The sequence below is a fragment of the Homo sapiens genome, chromosome 6 (assembly GCF_000001405.40).
Source record: "Homo sapiens chromosome 6, GRCh38.p14 Primary Assembly".
Classification (NCBI taxonomy): Eukaryota; Metazoa; Chordata; class Mammalia; order Primates; family Hominidae; genus Homo; species Homo sapiens.
Window position 1 is genome coordinate 36,443,681 of NC_000006.12, and position 17,833 is coordinate 36,461,513.

Genomic DNA, 17,833 nt, shown 5'->3' on the forward strand with positions numbered 1-17,833 from the left:
AACCAGCAATTTTCTTTTAAATAAAACTTTGCTTTTTATAGCAGTGTCTTCAGGTTTAGAAGCCCAGTTCTGCACTATGAGAAAACTCTTCTATTTTGGAGTTTGTGATTCTTTCTGAAAATTCCTCAGTTGAAGAGATTTATTTTTAAATAAGAATCTAGTGAACAAACTAACATGATAAACAAGGCTGTGAAGGAACTGTTTAACCAGCTTATGAAAATATGTCCCAGAGTCCTTAGTTTTGTTCCTGTTCGCTGTGCGAGAAGTTGAGGTAGTTTTTTAATGGTCTTCAAAACAAAGTGTTGTAGTAGTGTCTGTCGGATGTGATGAATCCAGAGTCAGAGGACTTCCGCTCAAGGCCCCCACCTGAAACCCCAATTCCTAGGCCATAGTTCTGAAACAGAAGATTGTTCCTTAGTAATAAGGTTGCAGTACCCTAGCACCTCTTCCATAAATTTGATTCTAGAGATTTGTGATGGGTCCCTGAGTCTGGGATTTAAGCAAGCACCTGCACTCTTGGTCTGTTACTGATGATCCAGGGACCGACCACACGTTGACAGACACCACCTTTAGGCTGGGCTGGGAATTTTAAAAACTGCCCAACAGCCTTAACCCTTTGTCGATGTTTTCCTCCCCTGCCCTAAACCAGTCGTAGGACAAGAAGCCCTGACTCTCCAGAAGCCAATATGAGAAAAGATAGTGCTTTTTTTGACCCTGACACGGGGTAGGAAATGATTTTCATGCATATTCCGATATTGCTCTGATGGTTTAGAGATAGCCCATTAATCTTTTCCTTCTGAGGGCTGCTTCTAGTATCATCAGAGCTTAATGCCATTAGGCCAAATCTCCTCCGCCCAGCTCACTCAAGTCTCCCCATGGAACCAGGGCAGCCAATGCCATATAATTCCCATGGCCTTGACTGTCATATTATCTGGTATGTAGCAGTACTAGTAGCATTATGAGGGCTTTCAGTTCAGCTGGACGTTAATTTAGTCATCAAATACCTGCGTAATGCCTATTTTCCTCAAAGCACTGTAGTAGGCTGTTTTATCAACAGCATTGCAATATAGACACATATTTCTGGCACAGAGTTGCATTCCTCCTTTGAGGCAGAAATGAGGGCTGGATAAACTCCACTGCTGCCAAAAGGTTCTCTTTATTCATCCACAATTTGTTCCTTCCTGTTATGCCAGAAATACACGTACTATTCCAATAATCTCGTTTTCCTTAAGAAGTTAAGAAATACATTGTATTAGGCCTAACTGTAGTAGTTAGGTCAGTCTTAAATTCTGTAACAGAAGCCGGGCGTGGTGGCTCATGCCTGTAATCCCAGCAATTTGGGAAGCCGAGGCAGATGGATCACCTGAGGTCAGGAGTTTCAGACCAGCCTGGCCAACCTGGTGAAACCCTGTCTCTACTAAAAATACAAAAATAAGCCAGGCATGGTGGTGGGCACCTGTAATCCCAGCTACACGGGAGGCTGAGGCCGGAGAATCACTTGAATCCGGGAGGCAGAGGTTGCAGTGAGCCGAGATCGCGCCATTGTACTCCAGCCTGGGCAACAGAGTGAGACTCCGTCTCAAAAAAAAAAAAAAAAAAAAATCTGTAACAGAGACATCTAGTAACTTTGGTAAGGACAATAATACACGCATTTTTATATTTATTATTCCCCCTTCAAATAGATGTGTAGAGATGAGGTTAGAATTAGGCCATGTGTTTCTGTGACTTTTTTCCTCTCTTTGGTGTCTGATTTATCTTATTGAATCTTTTTCTGTTGATTCATAAAATGTCATGTCTTTCCTTCTGTAGCCCTGAGCTTCCTGATTGTTGTGTCTTCCTCTGGCCTTCAATCTGATCTTCCTGCCCCTCTTTGGCTAAGTGGAGTGAAATATTGAGGGGAATTGTTAGAATACCACATGATTTTTAGTTGGAAGATCCAGAGTCTTAGATATATGAGGCTTAGAGATATAAAGGAGCTTATTACAAATTTATCAAATGCAATCCTCTCAGATAAAGAATCTGAGAGATGAGATTGCAGAGTGAGGACTTCTGGCTCCTAGCCCAGTGTTCTTCCCACCAAATTAAATGCTTCAAAAGTAGAAAAGGTCCAGAGAAATTATAAGTAGATGGAGAAAAATGGAGAGACTTTCATATGACTACAAAAGCAATATTATCTTATCTGGAAAAATGGAGATTGAAGGAGGATATGATGTAACCATATAAATCATAAAAAGTGGGAGTACTAATAATAAGGAACTCTTTGAAGCTTGAAATAAGTAGTGAAAGGACAAATAAGAGCAAGAGATAGCTATCTTGTAAAGCCCCAGAAATGTTATGAACTCAGTTTTTTTTTTTTTTCTTTTGAGACAGAGTTTCGCTCTTGTTGCCCAGGCTGGAGTGCAATGGCGTGATCTCGGCTCACTGCAACCTCTGCCTCCTGGGTTCAAGCGATTCTCCTGCCTCAGCCTCCCGAGTAGCTGGGATTACAGGCGCCCGCTACCATGCCCGGCTAATTTTTTGTATTTTTAGTTGGGACGGGATTTCACCATGTTGGTCAGGCTGGTCTCGAACTCCTGACCTCAGGTGATCCGCCCACCTGGGACTCCCAAAGTGCTGGGATTACAGGTTTGAGCCACCATGCCAGGCCTGAACTCAGTATTTTTAAAAAAATATTAAATAAAGGCTTAGATAACTACTTTGGTGATTTTTAAAATATGTTAAATGCTTGAGCAATGCCCAGAATCTTTGGAAGTTGTCATCAAGAATATAACTATTGTCCTTATCAAACTTATTAGGTACCTCTGTGATAGAATTTAAGACTGATGGCTAGGTGTGGTGGCTTACGCCTGTAATCCCAGCACTTTGGGAGGTCAAGGGAGGAGGATTTCTTTAGCCCAGAAGTTCCAGACCATCCTGGGCAACACAGGGAGACCCTGTCTGTATTATTTTAAAAATTAAAAAACGAACAAAGAATTTAAGACTCATCTAACTACTAACCTCATCCAATGTGATATTTCTTAATGGAAAATGAGATTATTGGGAATAGTACATGTATTTCTGGAATAGTAGGAAGGAAAGAATTACGGATGAAGAAAGAGGGCCTTTTGATGTTTTAGCTTGGAATCCCCAAATTAAACACTGTAGGATTGATTGCTCTTATATATTCCTGAAAGTAGTAGAAATAAAAATAGTAATGGCTTAATAATTAGTATACGTTCTATACCAGCCACTTACTAAATGGTTTTACATCATTGTCCCATTTAATTATCTCCATTCTATAGATAAAGACTCTAAGACACAAGAGATTAAGTTTGCCTCAAATAATATACCTAATAAGTGGCTGAGCCTGTAGTAAAGTAAGTCCATTTGACTTCAAAGCCATTAAAATATATGCTCAAGAGTGTCCTAGTTATATTTCATTGGGAAGTGGTTAAGAATGTGGGTTGTGGAGTCAGTGTTGCCTGGGTTCAAATCCTGACTCCTCCATTTACTAGGTTGGATAAAGTACTTTATCAGTTTCTGTCTCTGAAATAGACAATAATAGTACCTACCTATCCCAGGATTTTTAGGATTGAGTTAATTCATGTAAAGTTCATAGAACTGTGCCTCACAAACTGTAAGTTTTCAGGAAATGCTGGCCATTAATGTTTTCAAAAATATTTTTAGGCTGGGCAGGATGGCTCAAGCCTGTAATCCCAGCACTTTGAGAGGCTGAGGTGGGTGGATCATTTGAGGCTAGGAGTTTGAGACCATCCTGGCCAACATGGTGAAACCCCCGTCTCTACTAAAAATTCAGAAAATTAGCTGGGCATGTTGGCATGCGACTGTAAGCCCAGTTACTGGGGAGGTTGAGGCATAAGCATTGCTTGAATCTGGGAGGCAGAGATTTCAGTGAGCCAAGATCGCACCACTGCACTCCAGTCTAGGCAACAGAGCGAGACTCTGTCTCAAAAAAAAAAAGAAAAAAATATAAAATTTTTGATATACTATTGTGCTTAGAAAGGAAGACATATTTATAATTTATTTCATGGTGGGTGCTGTAGCTCACACCTATAATCCCAGCACTTTGGGAGGCTGACATGGGCACATCGCTTGAGCCCAGGAGTTCGAGATCAGGCTAAGCAACATGGCACGACTCTGTCTCTACAAAAAATATAAAAATGAGCCAGGTGTGGTGGTGTGCGCCTTTAATCCTAGCTACTCTGGAGGCCAGGGCAGGTGGATCGATTGAACCCAGAAGGTGGAGGTTGCAGTGAACTGAGATCGTGCCACTGCATTCCAGCCTGGGTGACAGAGCACGATCCTGTCTCCAAAATATATGTGTATGTGTGTGTGTATATATATATATATATATATATATTTGAAATACTGAGGTTTTATGATAAGTATAAAGTAAGCTTTATCTCTGCCCTTACTAAAACAGGAACATTACTAAAATTTTGGAAGGCATTGGAATGTAGTAGAAAGGTCCATGATCCAGGTCAGATGATTTGCTTCTAGTTGTCGCTGTCACTGCTAGCTCTGTGATTCTAGGTTCAAAATTTCTGTTTTACACAGAAGGTTGTGAGGATCAAATGAACTAACAAATAGGAATGAAATTTGAATTTTATATGCTATACAAATGTAAAATACCATTTTAAAAATTATGGAGGAAAGTTACAATGAATTATTGTTGCATAGATTATTGAAAGTTCAATTTCCTTAGAATAAAACAGGTAGTAACTTACACCTCTATGTGAAGATCACAGTACATATCTTAAAATTATCTAAGACACCCTCCATGTGTTTGTCTCAAATCTCTTTTTTACAGGGAGAACGTGAAATTTAATTTTTGCAGTTGTATCTGTGTATTGGTTTGCTAAGGCTGCCAAAGCAAAGGACCACTGTCTGGGTGGTTTGAACAACAGAAATCTATTTTCTCACAATTTTGGAAGCTAGAAGGCCAAGATGGTGTCAGGAGGGTTTGTTTTCTTCTGAGGCCTCTGTTTGACTTGTAGATGGCCATTTTCTTCTCCCTGTGTCTTTGTGTCCGGAATTTATTCCTTCCAGTGGGTTCTTGGTCTCACTGACTTCAAGAATGAAGCCGCGGAGCCTCGCGGTGAGTGTTACAATTCTTAAAGATGGTGTGTCCAGAGTTTGTTCCTTCACATGTTCAGATGTGTCTGGAGTTTCTTCCTTCCAGTGGGTTCGTGGTCTTGCTGACTTCAGGAGTGAAGCCGCAGACCTTCTCAGTGAGTGTTACAGCTCTTAAAGGTGGCGTGTCTGGAGTTGTTTGTTCCTCCCGGTGGGTTCGTGGTCTTGCTGACTTCAGGAGTGAAGCTGCAGACCTTTGCAGTGAGTGTTACAGCTCATAAAGTTAGTGCAGACCCAAAGAATGAGCAGCAGCAAGACTTATTGTGAGGAGCGAAAGAATAAAGCTTCCACAGTGTGGAAGGGGTTCTGAGCGGGCTGCTGCTGCTGGCTCAGGTGGCCAGCATTTAGTCCCTTATTTGGCCCTGTCCGTGTCCTGCTGATTGGTCCATTTTACAGAGTGCTGATTGGTCCATTTACAAACCTTTAGCTAGACACAGAGCGCTGATTGGTGCGTTTTTACGGAGTGCTGATTGGTGCATTTATAAACCTTTAGCTAGACACAGAGCACTGATTGGTGCGTTTTTACAGAGTGCTGATTGGTGCATTTACAAACCTTTAGCTAGACACAGAGCGCTGATTGATAGACACAGAGCGCTGATTCATGCGTTTTTACATAGTGCTGATTGGTGCGTTTACAATCCTTTAGCTAGACACAGAGTGCTGATTGGTGTGTTTTTACAGAGTGCTGATTGGTGCATTTATAATCCTTTAGCTAGACACAGAGCACTGATTGGTGCGTTTACAATCCTTTAGCTAGGCAGAAAAGTTCTCCAATTGCGTTTACAATCCTTTAGGCAGAAAAGTTCTCCAAGTCCCCACTCGACCCAGGAAGTCCAGCTGGCTTCACCTCTCATCTTCACATTGTCATCCCTCTGTTTATGTGTTCTACTCGCCCCATTTTGAGGACTCCAGACATATTGGATTAGGGCCCACCTTAATGACTTCGTTTAAAAGGCACTGTCTCCAAATACAGGCACATTCTGAGGACTAGGGGTTAGGGCTTCACATATGAATTTTGAGGGAGACACAGTTCAGCCCCGACAATCTGTTTAAGAAGTTATGTGTTGGTGGCCGGGCGCGGTGGCTCACGCCTGTAATCCCAGCACTTTGGGAGGCTGAGGCGGGCGGATCACAAGGTCAGGAGATCGAGACCATCATGGCTAACATGGTGAAACTCCGTCTGTACTAAAAATATAAAAAATTAGCTGGGCGTGGTTGCAGGCGCCTGTAGTCCCAGCTACTTGGGAGGCTGAGGCAGGAGAATGGCGTGAACCCAGGAGGCGGAGCTTGCAGTGAGCCGAGATTGCGCCACTGCACTCCAGCCTGGGCAACAGAGTGAGACTCCGTCCTAAAAAAAAAAAAAAAAAAAAAAAAAAAGAAGTTATGTATTGGGGCCGGGTGCAATGGCTCCTGCGTGTAATCCCAACACTTTGGGAGGTGGAGGCAGGTGGATCATCTGAGGTCAGGAGTTTGAGACCAGCGTGGCCAACATGACGAAACCCTGTCTCTACTAAAAATACAAAAATTAGCTGGGCACGATGGCACGTGCTTGTAATCCCAACTACTCGGGAGGCTGAGGTAGGAGAATCGCTTGAACCTGGGAGGCAGAGGTTGCAGTGAGCTGAGATTGTGCCACTGCACTCCAGCCTGGGTGACAGAGTGAGACTCTGTCTCAAAAAAAAAAAAAAGAAAGGTTATGTGTTGGGTAATCTGAATGCTCGTTTCCTTCATCACTATGTCCTACGCCATGAGGCCCAGGCAGCATTCTTTTTCACGTGACTGGCTTTACCTGTTCTTCAGAACCATGCTTACTTTTGTATACCCTGAGAAGCATATTATGCCTCTGTATAAATCATTGTGTTATGTTATATTTAAGATTATCCTGTTAGCCTACTGAATAATGTGCTTGAAAAACTATTCCATACATTAACTTAAATTCCTAATTCATCTATTAAGCTCATTTCTTCTTTAATCTAGATGGAAGAATGTCAAACTATTTTATGTGATAATATATTGTTTTCTGATTAAACTTTAAAAATTTTCTCTTAAACTGTTTCAAGCAGTTTTAAAAATTTATTTTATCTTATTTTACTTTTTAAGAGTTAGAAGTCTTGCTGTGTTGCCCAGGCTGAAGCATAGTAGCTATTCACAGTCTTGATCCCACTACTGATCAGCACAGGAGTTTTGACTTGCCTGTTTCCAGCCTGGGTCAGTTCTCCCCTCCTTAGGCATCCTGGTGGATCCCTGCTCCTGGGAGGTCACCATTGATGCTAAATTTGGTGCAGACACCTGATTGACATAGCGCACTACAGCCCAGAACTTCTGGGCTCAAGTGATCCTCCCACCTCAGCCTCCTAAGTAGCTGGGGCTACAATAGTGTGCCATGGAACCTAGTTACAAGCAGTTTTTAAGAAACCATTCCAATGATTCCAATGTTTTCTTGAGAAGGTATCTGTTTTTAGAGATACATTTTCATTTTTCCTTATTTTAAAGATAATAACACATTCATTTTAGAGACTTTAGAATATTCAGTAAGACAATAACTTTTTAAAAGAAAAGTCACGTGATTCTACAGTTAAGGGAGAATAATCTTTTCCATCTTTTTTCTGTGGATACATTTATTGTTTCAACTTGCCTTTTAAAAATCTAATATATCAATACTATTTCACACTATTTCAGTTATTTTCTTTTCTGAAATAAGGTCTTGCTCTGTCACCCAGGATGAGGTGTAGTGGCAAGATTTCAGCTCACTGCAGCTTTGACCTCCGGGCTTAAGCAGTCCTCCCACGTCAGCCTTGCCCAAGTAGTTGGGACTACAGGTATGTGCCACCACACCCAGCTAATTTTTTTATTTTTTGTAGAAACGAGGTCTCACTGTGTTGTCCAGTTTTGTCTTGAACTCCTGGGCTCAAGCGATCCTCCTGCCTTGGCCTCCCAAAGTGTTAGGATTACAGGCATAAACTGCTGCACCTGGCCCTATTTTAGTTATTTTCAAACAGATTTCTATTTATTTATTTAGAGACAGAGTCTCACTCTGTCACCCAGGCAGTGCAGTAGTGCAGTCTCAGCTCACTGCAACCTCCTCCTCCCCGGTTCAAGTGCTTTTCATGCCTCAGCCTCCTGAGTAGCTGGAATTACAGGTACACACCACCATGCCCAGCTAATTTTTGTATTTTTAGTAGAGACAGGGTTTCGCCATGTTGACCGGGCTGGTCTCAAACTCCTGACTTCAAGTGATCTGCCCACCTTGGCCTCCCAAAGTGCTGGGATTACAGGTGTGAGTCAATGTGCCTGGCCTATTTTTTTAATTGGTGAATCATATGAATTGATTTTTGAATGTTAAACCAATCTTTGCCATAATGTATTATCCTTTTTTATGTGGCTGAATTTGATTTTCTCATAATTTGTTTAGGATTTTTGTGATTATGTTCATGAGAAAGTTTGATATAATTTCTTCGTTAAAAGTGTGGGAAAATTTGCTAGTCAAGCCATTGGATTCTGGAAAAGTTTTAATTATCAATTAAATTTCTTTACTAGATATAGGACTTTGCAGATTTTCTAATTTTTCTAAGTCAGTTTCAATAAATTATAGAATATTCATTTAATCTGCAAATTCTAATTTACTGGCATAAATTGTACAAAATAACTGCTCATCTTTTTAGTCTCATGGGATGTGTACTGATAGTCTTTTTTCATCTGTGATCATTGTAGTGTGCATCTTCATTTTCTTTTTTTTTTTTTTTTTTTTAGATGAAGTCTCACTCTGTTGCCCAAGCTGCAGTGCAATGTCGCTATCTTGGCTTACTGCAACCTCCGCTTCCCGAAGCGATTCTACTGCCCCAGCCTCCTGAGTAGCTGGGACTACAGGTGTACACCATGACACCTGGCTAATTTTTGTATTTTTAGTAGAGATGGGGTTTCACTATGTTGGCCAGGCTGGTCTTGAACTCCTGACCTCGTGATCCGCCCGCGTCAGTCTCCCGAAGTGCTGGGATTACAGGCGTGAGCCACCGCGCCCAGCCTTATTTTCTTTTTAAAACAACTTCACTGAGAGAGAATTCACATAACATACAATTCACTCATATAAAGTATAGAGTTGAGTGGTTTAGTATATTCAAAGTTGTGCAGACATTACCACCATTATTTCTTTCTTGATCAGTTTTTAGGGCTTATCAGTTTTCTTAGCTTTTTTTTTTTTTTTTTTTTTTTTTGGATACAGGGTCTCACTCTGTTGCCCTGGCTGGAGTGCAGTGGCGCGATCTTGGCTCACGGCAACCTCCGCCTCCCAGGCTCAAGCAATTTGAGTGCCTCAGCCTCCCAAGTAGCTGGGATTACAGACGCGTGCCACTACTGCCTGGCTAATTTTTTTTGTATTATTAGTAGAGACAGGGTCTCACCATGTTGGCCAGGCTGGTCTTGAACTCCTGACCTCAAGTGATCCACCCGCCTTGGCCTCCCAAACTGCTGGGATTACAGGCGTGAGCCACCACCCCCAGCCTTTTGTTTTATTTTGTTTTGTTTTCTTAAAGCCAACTTTTGGCTTTATTGATTTTTCTCAGTTGAGCTTGTGTTTTCTTTTACATTAATTTCTGCCCTTATTTCTTTCCTTATATATTCTTTAGGATTAATAAGCTATTATTTTCCTGCCTTGAGAAAGATACTTTGATTATTGTTTTTCATTCTTTTCTAATGTTTTGTTTTTTGTTTTTTTTTTTTTTGAGACGGAGTTTTGCTCTTGTTGCCCAGGCTGAAGTGCAATGGTGTGATCTTGGCCCACCGCAACCTCTGCCTCCTGGGTTCAAGCGATTCTCCTGCCTCAGCCTCCCCAGTAGCTGGGATTACAGGCATGCACCACCACACCTGCCAATTTTGTATTTTTAGTAGAGACGTTTCTTGATGTTGGTCAGGCTGGTCTCAAACTCCTGACCTCAGGTGATCCGCCCGCCTTGGCCTCCCAAAGTGCTGGGATTACAGATATGAGCCACTGTGCCCGGCCTCTAATATATGTTTTAAAGCTATAAATTTTCCTTTGTGCCTGGAGTTAGGCTTATTTAACAAGTTCGCATATGTTGTATTCATTCAGTTCAAAATATTTTCTCCATTTCATTGTGTTCTGTTTTTGGTCCAAGGTTATTCAGAAGTGTGTTGCTTAATTTTCCAACATTTGAGGATATTTTGTTTTTGTCATTGATTTTTAACTTAATTCCACTGTGTTCAGAGAACATAACTATTCTTTCAATCTTTTGAAATGTATTGAGACTTACTATGTAGCCTGAATGTGGTCAGTTCTGATTAATTTTTCAAGTGTACTTGCAAAAGAATTACTCTGCAATTGGGTGCAAATTTGGTTAATTTATGAATGATGTTATTCAAACCTTCTATATGAGCAGTGGACAAACTACCTCCTGCTGCCTTTTTTGTACACAAAGTTTTATTAGAACACAGCCATGCTTACTCATTTACAAATTGTCTATGACTGCTTTTGCTCTATAATAGTATGGCCCACAAGACCTAAAATATTTACTTTATGGCTCTTTTTTTTTTTTGAGATGGAGTCTCGCTCTGTCGCCCAGGCTGGAGTGCAGTGGCGTGATCTCAGCTCACTGCAACCTCCACCTCCCGGGTTCAAGCAATTCTCCTGCCTCAGCCTCCTGAGTAGCTGGGACTACAGATGCATGCCACCACACCCGGCTAATTTTTGTGATTTTAGTAGAGATGGGGTTTCACCATATTGGTCAGGCTTGTCTCGAACTCCTGATTTCAGGTGATGCACCCAGCTGGGCCTCCCAAAGTGCTGGGATTACAGGCGTGAGCCACTGTGCCCAGCCTTTTTTTTTTTTCTTGAGTCGGAGTCTTGCTCTGTTCCGCAGGCTGGAGTGCAGTGACACAATCTCAGCTCACTGCAACCTCCGCCGCCGGGTTCAAGCAGTTCTCCCGCCTCAGTCTCCCAAGTACCTGGGACTACAGGCACCCACCTGCCTGTAGTCATGCCTGGCTAATTTTCATATTTCTGTAGAATTGGGGTTTCACCATGTTGTTGGCCAGGCTGGTCTTGAACTCCTGACCTCAGGTGATCCGCCCATCTTGGCCTCCCAAAGTGCTAGGATTACAGGCATGAGCCACCGTGCCCGGCCTACTTTATGGCTCTTTACCAGAAAAGTTTGCCACCCATTCTACAGTGTTACTTTTAGGCTCCCAATGGAAAACCTGGGGTATTTCACAGGATCCTTCCTCCTCTGCAGACCCATTCCAGTTTTTGTCTCTCCAGCATCTTGATGCTGACAAAAGCTCTGCTTAACTTCTCAACTTTTGGGCCAGGCACAGTGGCTTACGCCTGTAATCCCAGCACTTTGGGAGGCTGAGGTGGGCGGATCACCTGAGGTCAGGAGTTTGAGACCAGCCTGGCCAACACAGTGAAACCCTGCCGCTACTAAAAATACAAAAATTAGCTGGGTGTGGTGGCAGGTGTCTGTAGTCCCAGCCACTCAGGAGGCCGAGGCAGGATAATCGCTTTAACCTGAGTGGCAGAGGTTGCAGTGAGCCAAGATCATGCCACTGCACTCCAGCCTGGGCGACAGAGCAAGACTCCGTCTAAAAACAAAAACAGAACAAACAAAAAAACTTCTCAACTTTTTAGCTGCTGCTTTCTACTTAGCTTTATAGCCTTTTGGTAGCTGCTTCCAAATTGGCAAATATCTGGAGGAGAAAAGTGGTACAGAGTGTTGGGCTTAACTTATTTGCTTTCTCTATTAGCGTTCCACCAAAGAAAATAGAACCAGTAGTGTGTGTGTGTGTGTGTGTGTGTGTTCACACACATACATATTAGGCTATTTATTGCAAAGAATTGGTTCACACTATGTTGGGGACTAGCTAGGCAAGTCTGAAACCCGTAAGACAGGTTGCAGCCAGGAGGGACAGGCAGGACCTCTAGGATAGGAGCAAAAGCTACAGTCTGCAGGCAGAATTTCTTCTTCCTCAGAGAAGTTTGTGTTCTGCCCTTAAAGCAACTGATTGGATCAGGCCCACCCAGATTATCTAGGATAATCTTCCTTACTTAAAGTAAGTAACTATAGACTGTAATTGTATCTACCAAATACCTTGACAGCAACACCTGTATTAGTGTTTGAATAACGGGACTGTAGCCTAGCCAAGTTGATACATAAAATTGACCATCACATCTTCTCTGTAGGAATTCACTTCTTGAGTCTTGGCCACTTCACTAGTTGTCTGATGCCTTCAAACAGATGTTTTTTTTCTGTTTTACTCAGCTTTTCTGAGCGCTCTCCAGTAGGAGGTTTATTCTGGTAGAAACTTGCCCATTGGTAGCAGTAGAAATCCCAGTGTTCTAGAAAATGTTCTGAGGCCAGGTACAGTAGCTCACACCTGTAATCCCAGCACTTTGGGAGGCCAAGGCAGGAGGATTGCTTGAGACCAGCCTGGGCAACATAGCAAGACCCCATCGCTAAAAAATTAGCTTTTTTTTGAGACGGAGTCTTGTTCTGTCACCCAGGCTGGAGTGCAGTGGCGCAATCTTGGCTCACTGCAACCTCTGCCTCCCGGGTTCAAGCGATTCTCCTGCCTCAGACTCCCAAGTAGCCAGGATTACAGGCGCCCGTCACCACATCCAGCTAATTTTTGTATTTTTAGTAGAGACAGGGTTTCACCATGTTGGCCAGGCTGGTCTCGAACTCCTGACCTTAGATGATCCGCCCACCTTGGCCTCCCAGAGTGTTGGGATTACAGGCCTGAGCCACCACGCCCAGGCTTTTTTTTTTTTTTTTTTTTTTTTTAAGAGCTGGGATCTTGCTCTGTTATCCACGGTGGCATATAGTGGTGCTATCACAGCTCACTGCAGTTTTGACCTCCTGAGCTCAAATGACCTTCCTGCCTCAGCCTCCTGAGTAGCTGAGACTACAAGTGTGCACAACCATGCCTGGAAAAAAGAGATGGTAAAGAGCCTGTGGAGCCTGTAACCCACTCCTGAGTAGCTGGGACTACAGGTGTGCAAAACCACGTCTGGAAAAAAGAGATGGTAAAGAGATGGCGGTCTTGGTGTGTTGTCCAGGCTAGTCTCATGCAATCCTCCTCTCATGCAAACCTTGGCCTCTCAAGTAGCTGGGACTACAGGCATATGCCACCATGCCTGGCTAATTTTTTTGTATTTCTTTTTGTGGAGACGGGGTTTTGCCATGTGGCCCAGCCTGGTACTCCTGGTCTCAAGTGATCCACCTGCCTCGGCCTCCCAAAGTGCTCGGATTACAGGTGTGAGCCACCGTGCCCGGCCTAATTTTTTATTTTTTGGAGAGATGGGGGTCTCACTGTGTTGCCAAGGCTGGTCTCAAATTCCTGGGCTCAAGCAGTCCTCCCACCTTGGCTTCCTAAAGTACAGGGATTGCATGTGAGCCATTGTGGGCTGTATGCTATTCCTGAATTAATGAAGATACTATTTAATCCTTTAAATCACTTATCTGATGCTTTTCAGAGATTCCCACATTACTTGCCTCGGTCATATTGTGGATTTTAGAATTGGAATGGTTTCTTGTAATTTTACCAATACTGAGCATTAAAGAAGGCCTTGCTATTTTTAAGTCTGTATCCTAATCAAATGTTGAGGCCGGGTACGGGGACTCACGCCTATAATTCCAATGCTTTGGGAGGCCCAGGTGGGATGATTGCTTGAGCCCACAAGTTAGAGACCAGTTTAGGCAACATAGTGAGACTCCTATCTCTACTTAAAATAGAATTAAAAAATTAGCTGGGCATGGTTGTGCATACCTGTAATACCAGCTACTTGGGAGGCTGAGGCAGGAGGATTGCTTGAGCCCAGGAGTTGGAGACTACAGTGAGTCATGATCTGCCACTGCAAAAATGTCAAGAAGTCTGGAAACAGTGTTAAATGCAAAACTGTGGCAAGAATTATAGATTTAATATGCTAATCAAAGAAGGGAAATTTATGGTACTTGTCTTTAATATTTAAAGGGTTGGAAGTGATGGAAGGATATGTTTTTCCGGGGGTAGGATTAAACTAGTGCATGGAAGTCACAGTGGGTGTAATAGATTATTTTTGGATATTTTTAGGTAGACTGGGATGAACTAGTAGAGGTGTTTTGTAGTCTTGGGTGGAAGGTTTGAGATCCCAGATTTTGAGGTTCATGATTGGTAAAATTGTGGCGGTGGGTGATTGGGAGACCATCATAAGGTTGCTGGCATTTTATTTTGTCATGTAAGGGCATTAAAAAAATCTAGCCTTCTTTTTTGAGACAGGGTCTTGCTCTGTTGCCCAGGCAGGAAGGCAGTAGCATGATCATGGCTCACTGCAGTCTCAACCTTCTGGACTCAAGCAGTCCTCCCATCTCAGCCTCCTGAGTAGCTGGGACCACAGGCATGAGCCACCATGGCCAGCTAATTTTTTTTTATTTTTATTTTTGTAGAGAAAGGTCTAGGCCGGGTGCGGTGGCTCATGCCTGTAATCCCAGCATTTTTGGGAGGCCGAGGTGGGCGGATCACCTGAGGTCGAGAGTTTGAGACCAGCCTGACCAACATGGAGAAACCCCGTCTCTACTAAAAATACAAAAAAATTAGCCGGGCGTGGTGGTGCATGTCTGTAATCCTAGCTACTCAGGAGGCTAAGGCAGGAGAATTGCTTGAACCTGGGAGGCAGAGGTTGCAGTGAGCCAAGAGCGTGCTACTGCACTCCACCCTGGGCAACAAGAGCAAAACTCCATCTCAAAAAAAAAAAAAAAAAAAGAAAAGAAAGAAAGGTCTGGCTATGTTGCCCAGGCTGGTCTTGAACTCCTGGGCTCAAGTGATCCTCCTGCCTTGGCCTCCCAAAGTGCTGGGATTACAGGCGTGAGCCACTGTGTCTGGATTATTACATTTTTAAAGAAGGCATTTTTGGCCAAGTGAGGTGGCCATGCCTGTAATCCCAACACTTTGGGAGACCAAGGCGGAAGGATGGCTTGATCCCAGGAGCTTGAGACTGGCCTGGGCAACATAGTGAGACCCTGTCTCTACAGAATAATTTAAAAAGGGGAAAAAAAAATTAGCCAGGCATGGTGGCATGTATCTGTGGTTCCAGCTACTTGGGAGGCTGAAGTGGGAGGATTGCTTGAGCCTGGGAGTCCAAGTCTGTTTTTTCTTTTTTTTATACTGACCACTATACTAATGAGGAAAAAAAATACATTTTTAATATTAAAAAAGAAGTAAAGATGGCTGGGCACCGTGGCCCACGCCTGTAATCCCAGCACTTTGGGAGGCCGAGGTGGGTGGATCACTTGATATCAAGGTCAAGAGTTTGAGACCAGCCTGGCCAACGTGGTGAAACCCCATCTCTACTAAAAATACAAAAATTAGCCAGGGCTGGTGGCACGTGCCCATAATCCCAGCTACTCGGGAGGCTGAGGCAGGAGAATCGCTTGAACTCGGAGGCAGAGGTTGTAGTGAGCTGAGATCATGCCACTGCACTCCAGCCTGGGCAACAGAGCGAGACTCCGTCTCAAAAAAAAAGAAAAAGAAGATATCATTTAGGTACAAAGGATAGCCCTTCCCAAGGAAGCCTTACACTATATACCATAATTTTTCACTTCATATTTTAACATTTTTAAAATCAGGATGCATCTGAAAATTCTATTTAATACAATAGTGCTGCTTTTTCTTAAAAAGTTTTTAGATTGATGATGTCTTAGCGTCAAGTGTCTTAGGACTCAGAAAATGGTGTGTGGGTTACATTATCTACATTGGCCTAATTTTTGACAAGACTGCATGAAAACTTTTGACAGCAATTGGTGCTGGTCCTTGAACTAGATGACCTTTACACTGTTTTCTGACAGTGATTTGTGGATTGTTTATAAACATGAATTTTCTACATGTTAGCTCTGTTACTACAGTACTTTTGACAGCAATTGGTGCTGGTCCTTGAACTAGATGACCTTTATACTGTTTTCTGACAGTGATTTGTGGATTGTTTATAACATGAATTTTCTACATGTTAGCTCTGTTACTATAGTACTGATTTATGGATCTGTCCTCTAAAGCCTTCAACTCTTTTCTTGCTATATAAATGCTTAGCTCTTTTCTATAAAATAGTCAACTGTATTTACTAATATACTTTTAATTTTTTAATTGCACTGCTTTAAAAAATGTTATTACTAAAAGTATATCCCTTGGATTTCCTAGAAGTTTGTCTTTAAATTATTCTTTACAGCCTATGCAGTTGTTCCTTTAGAGAGTTTTAGGTAATAGCCAAGTAGAGGAGTATCCTGGACACTGAAGACCTTACCCTGGAAATTCTATTATATGTTGACCAGCTTTTTTGTAGGAGTCGTGAGCTTTCTTTGACCTATTATGTGCCTTGGATTGTTCTCCTTAAGGTTTCATTAGAATGACCTTAACTAGTTAAGTTCAATCAAAAGAGGAAGCACCCCACATGGAAATTATAGAATTCCATCTAACCAGTATTTAGGTAATAAAGTTGAAAGAAGTTACAGCAGAATTAGATCTCTCTTTTTTTTTCCCGAGACTGAGCCTGTAGCCCAGGCTGGAGTGCAGTGGAATGATCTCAGCTCAGTGCAACCTCCACCTCACAGATTCCAGCGATTCTCCTGCCTCGGCCTCCCGAGTAGTTAGAACTACAGGTGCCCACCATCACACCCAGCTAATTTTTTGTATTTTTAATAGAGACGGGGTTTCACCATGTTGGCCAGGCTGGTTTCGAACTGCTGACCTCAAGTGATCCGCCCACCTCAGCCTCCCAAAGTGTTGGGATTACAGGCGTGAGCCACCGCACCCAGCCTCACAATTAGAACTTAATTTGAACTCAGATTGTAAAATCAACCCCCATCTGGAGGTATTTGATTTAGAGGCTCTGTTGTAGCAATTATTTAAAGAGGAAAGGTGCTAGATGTGCCCATTATCAGCACAGGAAGATTATATGTCCTAGCCCCCGGTCTTCAGCTTGAAATCACATTTCCAGTCCTGTAAAACATACATAGAAATTTTGAAGTGATTTATACCTATAAGGAGCAGCGGCACTGCATGGTGGTAAACAGCATGGACTATGAAGCCAGAAGTCTGGCTCCACTGCTTGTTAGCTGTGTGACTGTGGGAACTTTCCTTAACCTCCTTCTTCCTTCAGTTTTCTTATGTGTAAAATGAGGGTAACAATGGCATCTACCTCATAAAGTTTTTTGAGTATTAAATAATATTTATAAAGTACTTAAATAATATATAGTGCATGATATGTGTTAAATCAATTAAGTTTAAGTCCATCTGGACTTAGGATGTAATGTTTGCAGTAATTTGACATATGAAAGAATCCAGCAGATTAATTTGTGATTCTCATTTAAGATATGTTCTTGAGTAATTTGGTTTAGATTTGATTATTAGTTGAAGAATGCTAGAAAACTTTGCTAAGTTTGAAAAGTGTTGTAATATTTAGGACCTTTTTATGTATACTATACTTATAAGTTTAATTTTTTAAACATCTACCAGAACTTTTTTAAAAAAGTACTTAAGGATTTGCTTGGTAGGCATTTGAAGTGCTAACACAGGAAAAGAGCATCTATTAAACTAAATGTAGTGAAGATGTTTGATGGGAATGCCAAATTTAGGGGATTCATGTTTTATATTTAAACTGGAGGTGGGTACAAGAGTTTTTATTATATGGTTCTTTAAATCTTTTTATATGTAGTACATTAATATT

At 42.2% G+C, this 17,833-nt stretch overlaps 1 protein-coding gene and 1 pseudogene across 13 annotated transcripts in view, besides 1 other annotated feature; one reads left to right on the forward strand and one right to left on the reverse strand.

Moving 5' to 3' along the window:
- Window positions 1-17,833, forward strand: part of KCTD20 (potassium channel tetramerization domain containing 20) — a 48,142-nt gene that overhangs the window by 681 nt on the left and 29,628 nt on the right. Inside the window, exon 1 of one of the 13 annotated variants that reach the window (XM_006715023.3) lies at window positions 7,835-7,952. The exons of 11 other annotated variants lie outside the window; for them this stretch is intronic. The gene's annotated coding sequence lies outside the window, so the exon portion shown is untranslated. Of the gene's footprint in view, window positions 1-7,834; window positions 7,953-17,833 lie in introns of those variants that run through there. One more of the 13 variants, XM_047418377.1, reaches the window with a different exon arrangement.
- Window positions 378-437: an enhancer, noted in NCBI's record as "active region_24429". NCBI's record gives its function as "activates an Ori minimal core promoter by ATAC-STARR-seq in GM12878 lymphoblastoid cells {active_cell/tissue: GM12878}" and the evidence as "EXISTENCE:reporter gene assay evidence [ECO:0000049][PMID:35858748]".
- On the reverse strand, window positions 7,232-7,521 carry RN7SL502P (RNA, 7SL, cytoplasmic 502, pseudogene; annotated as a pseudogene).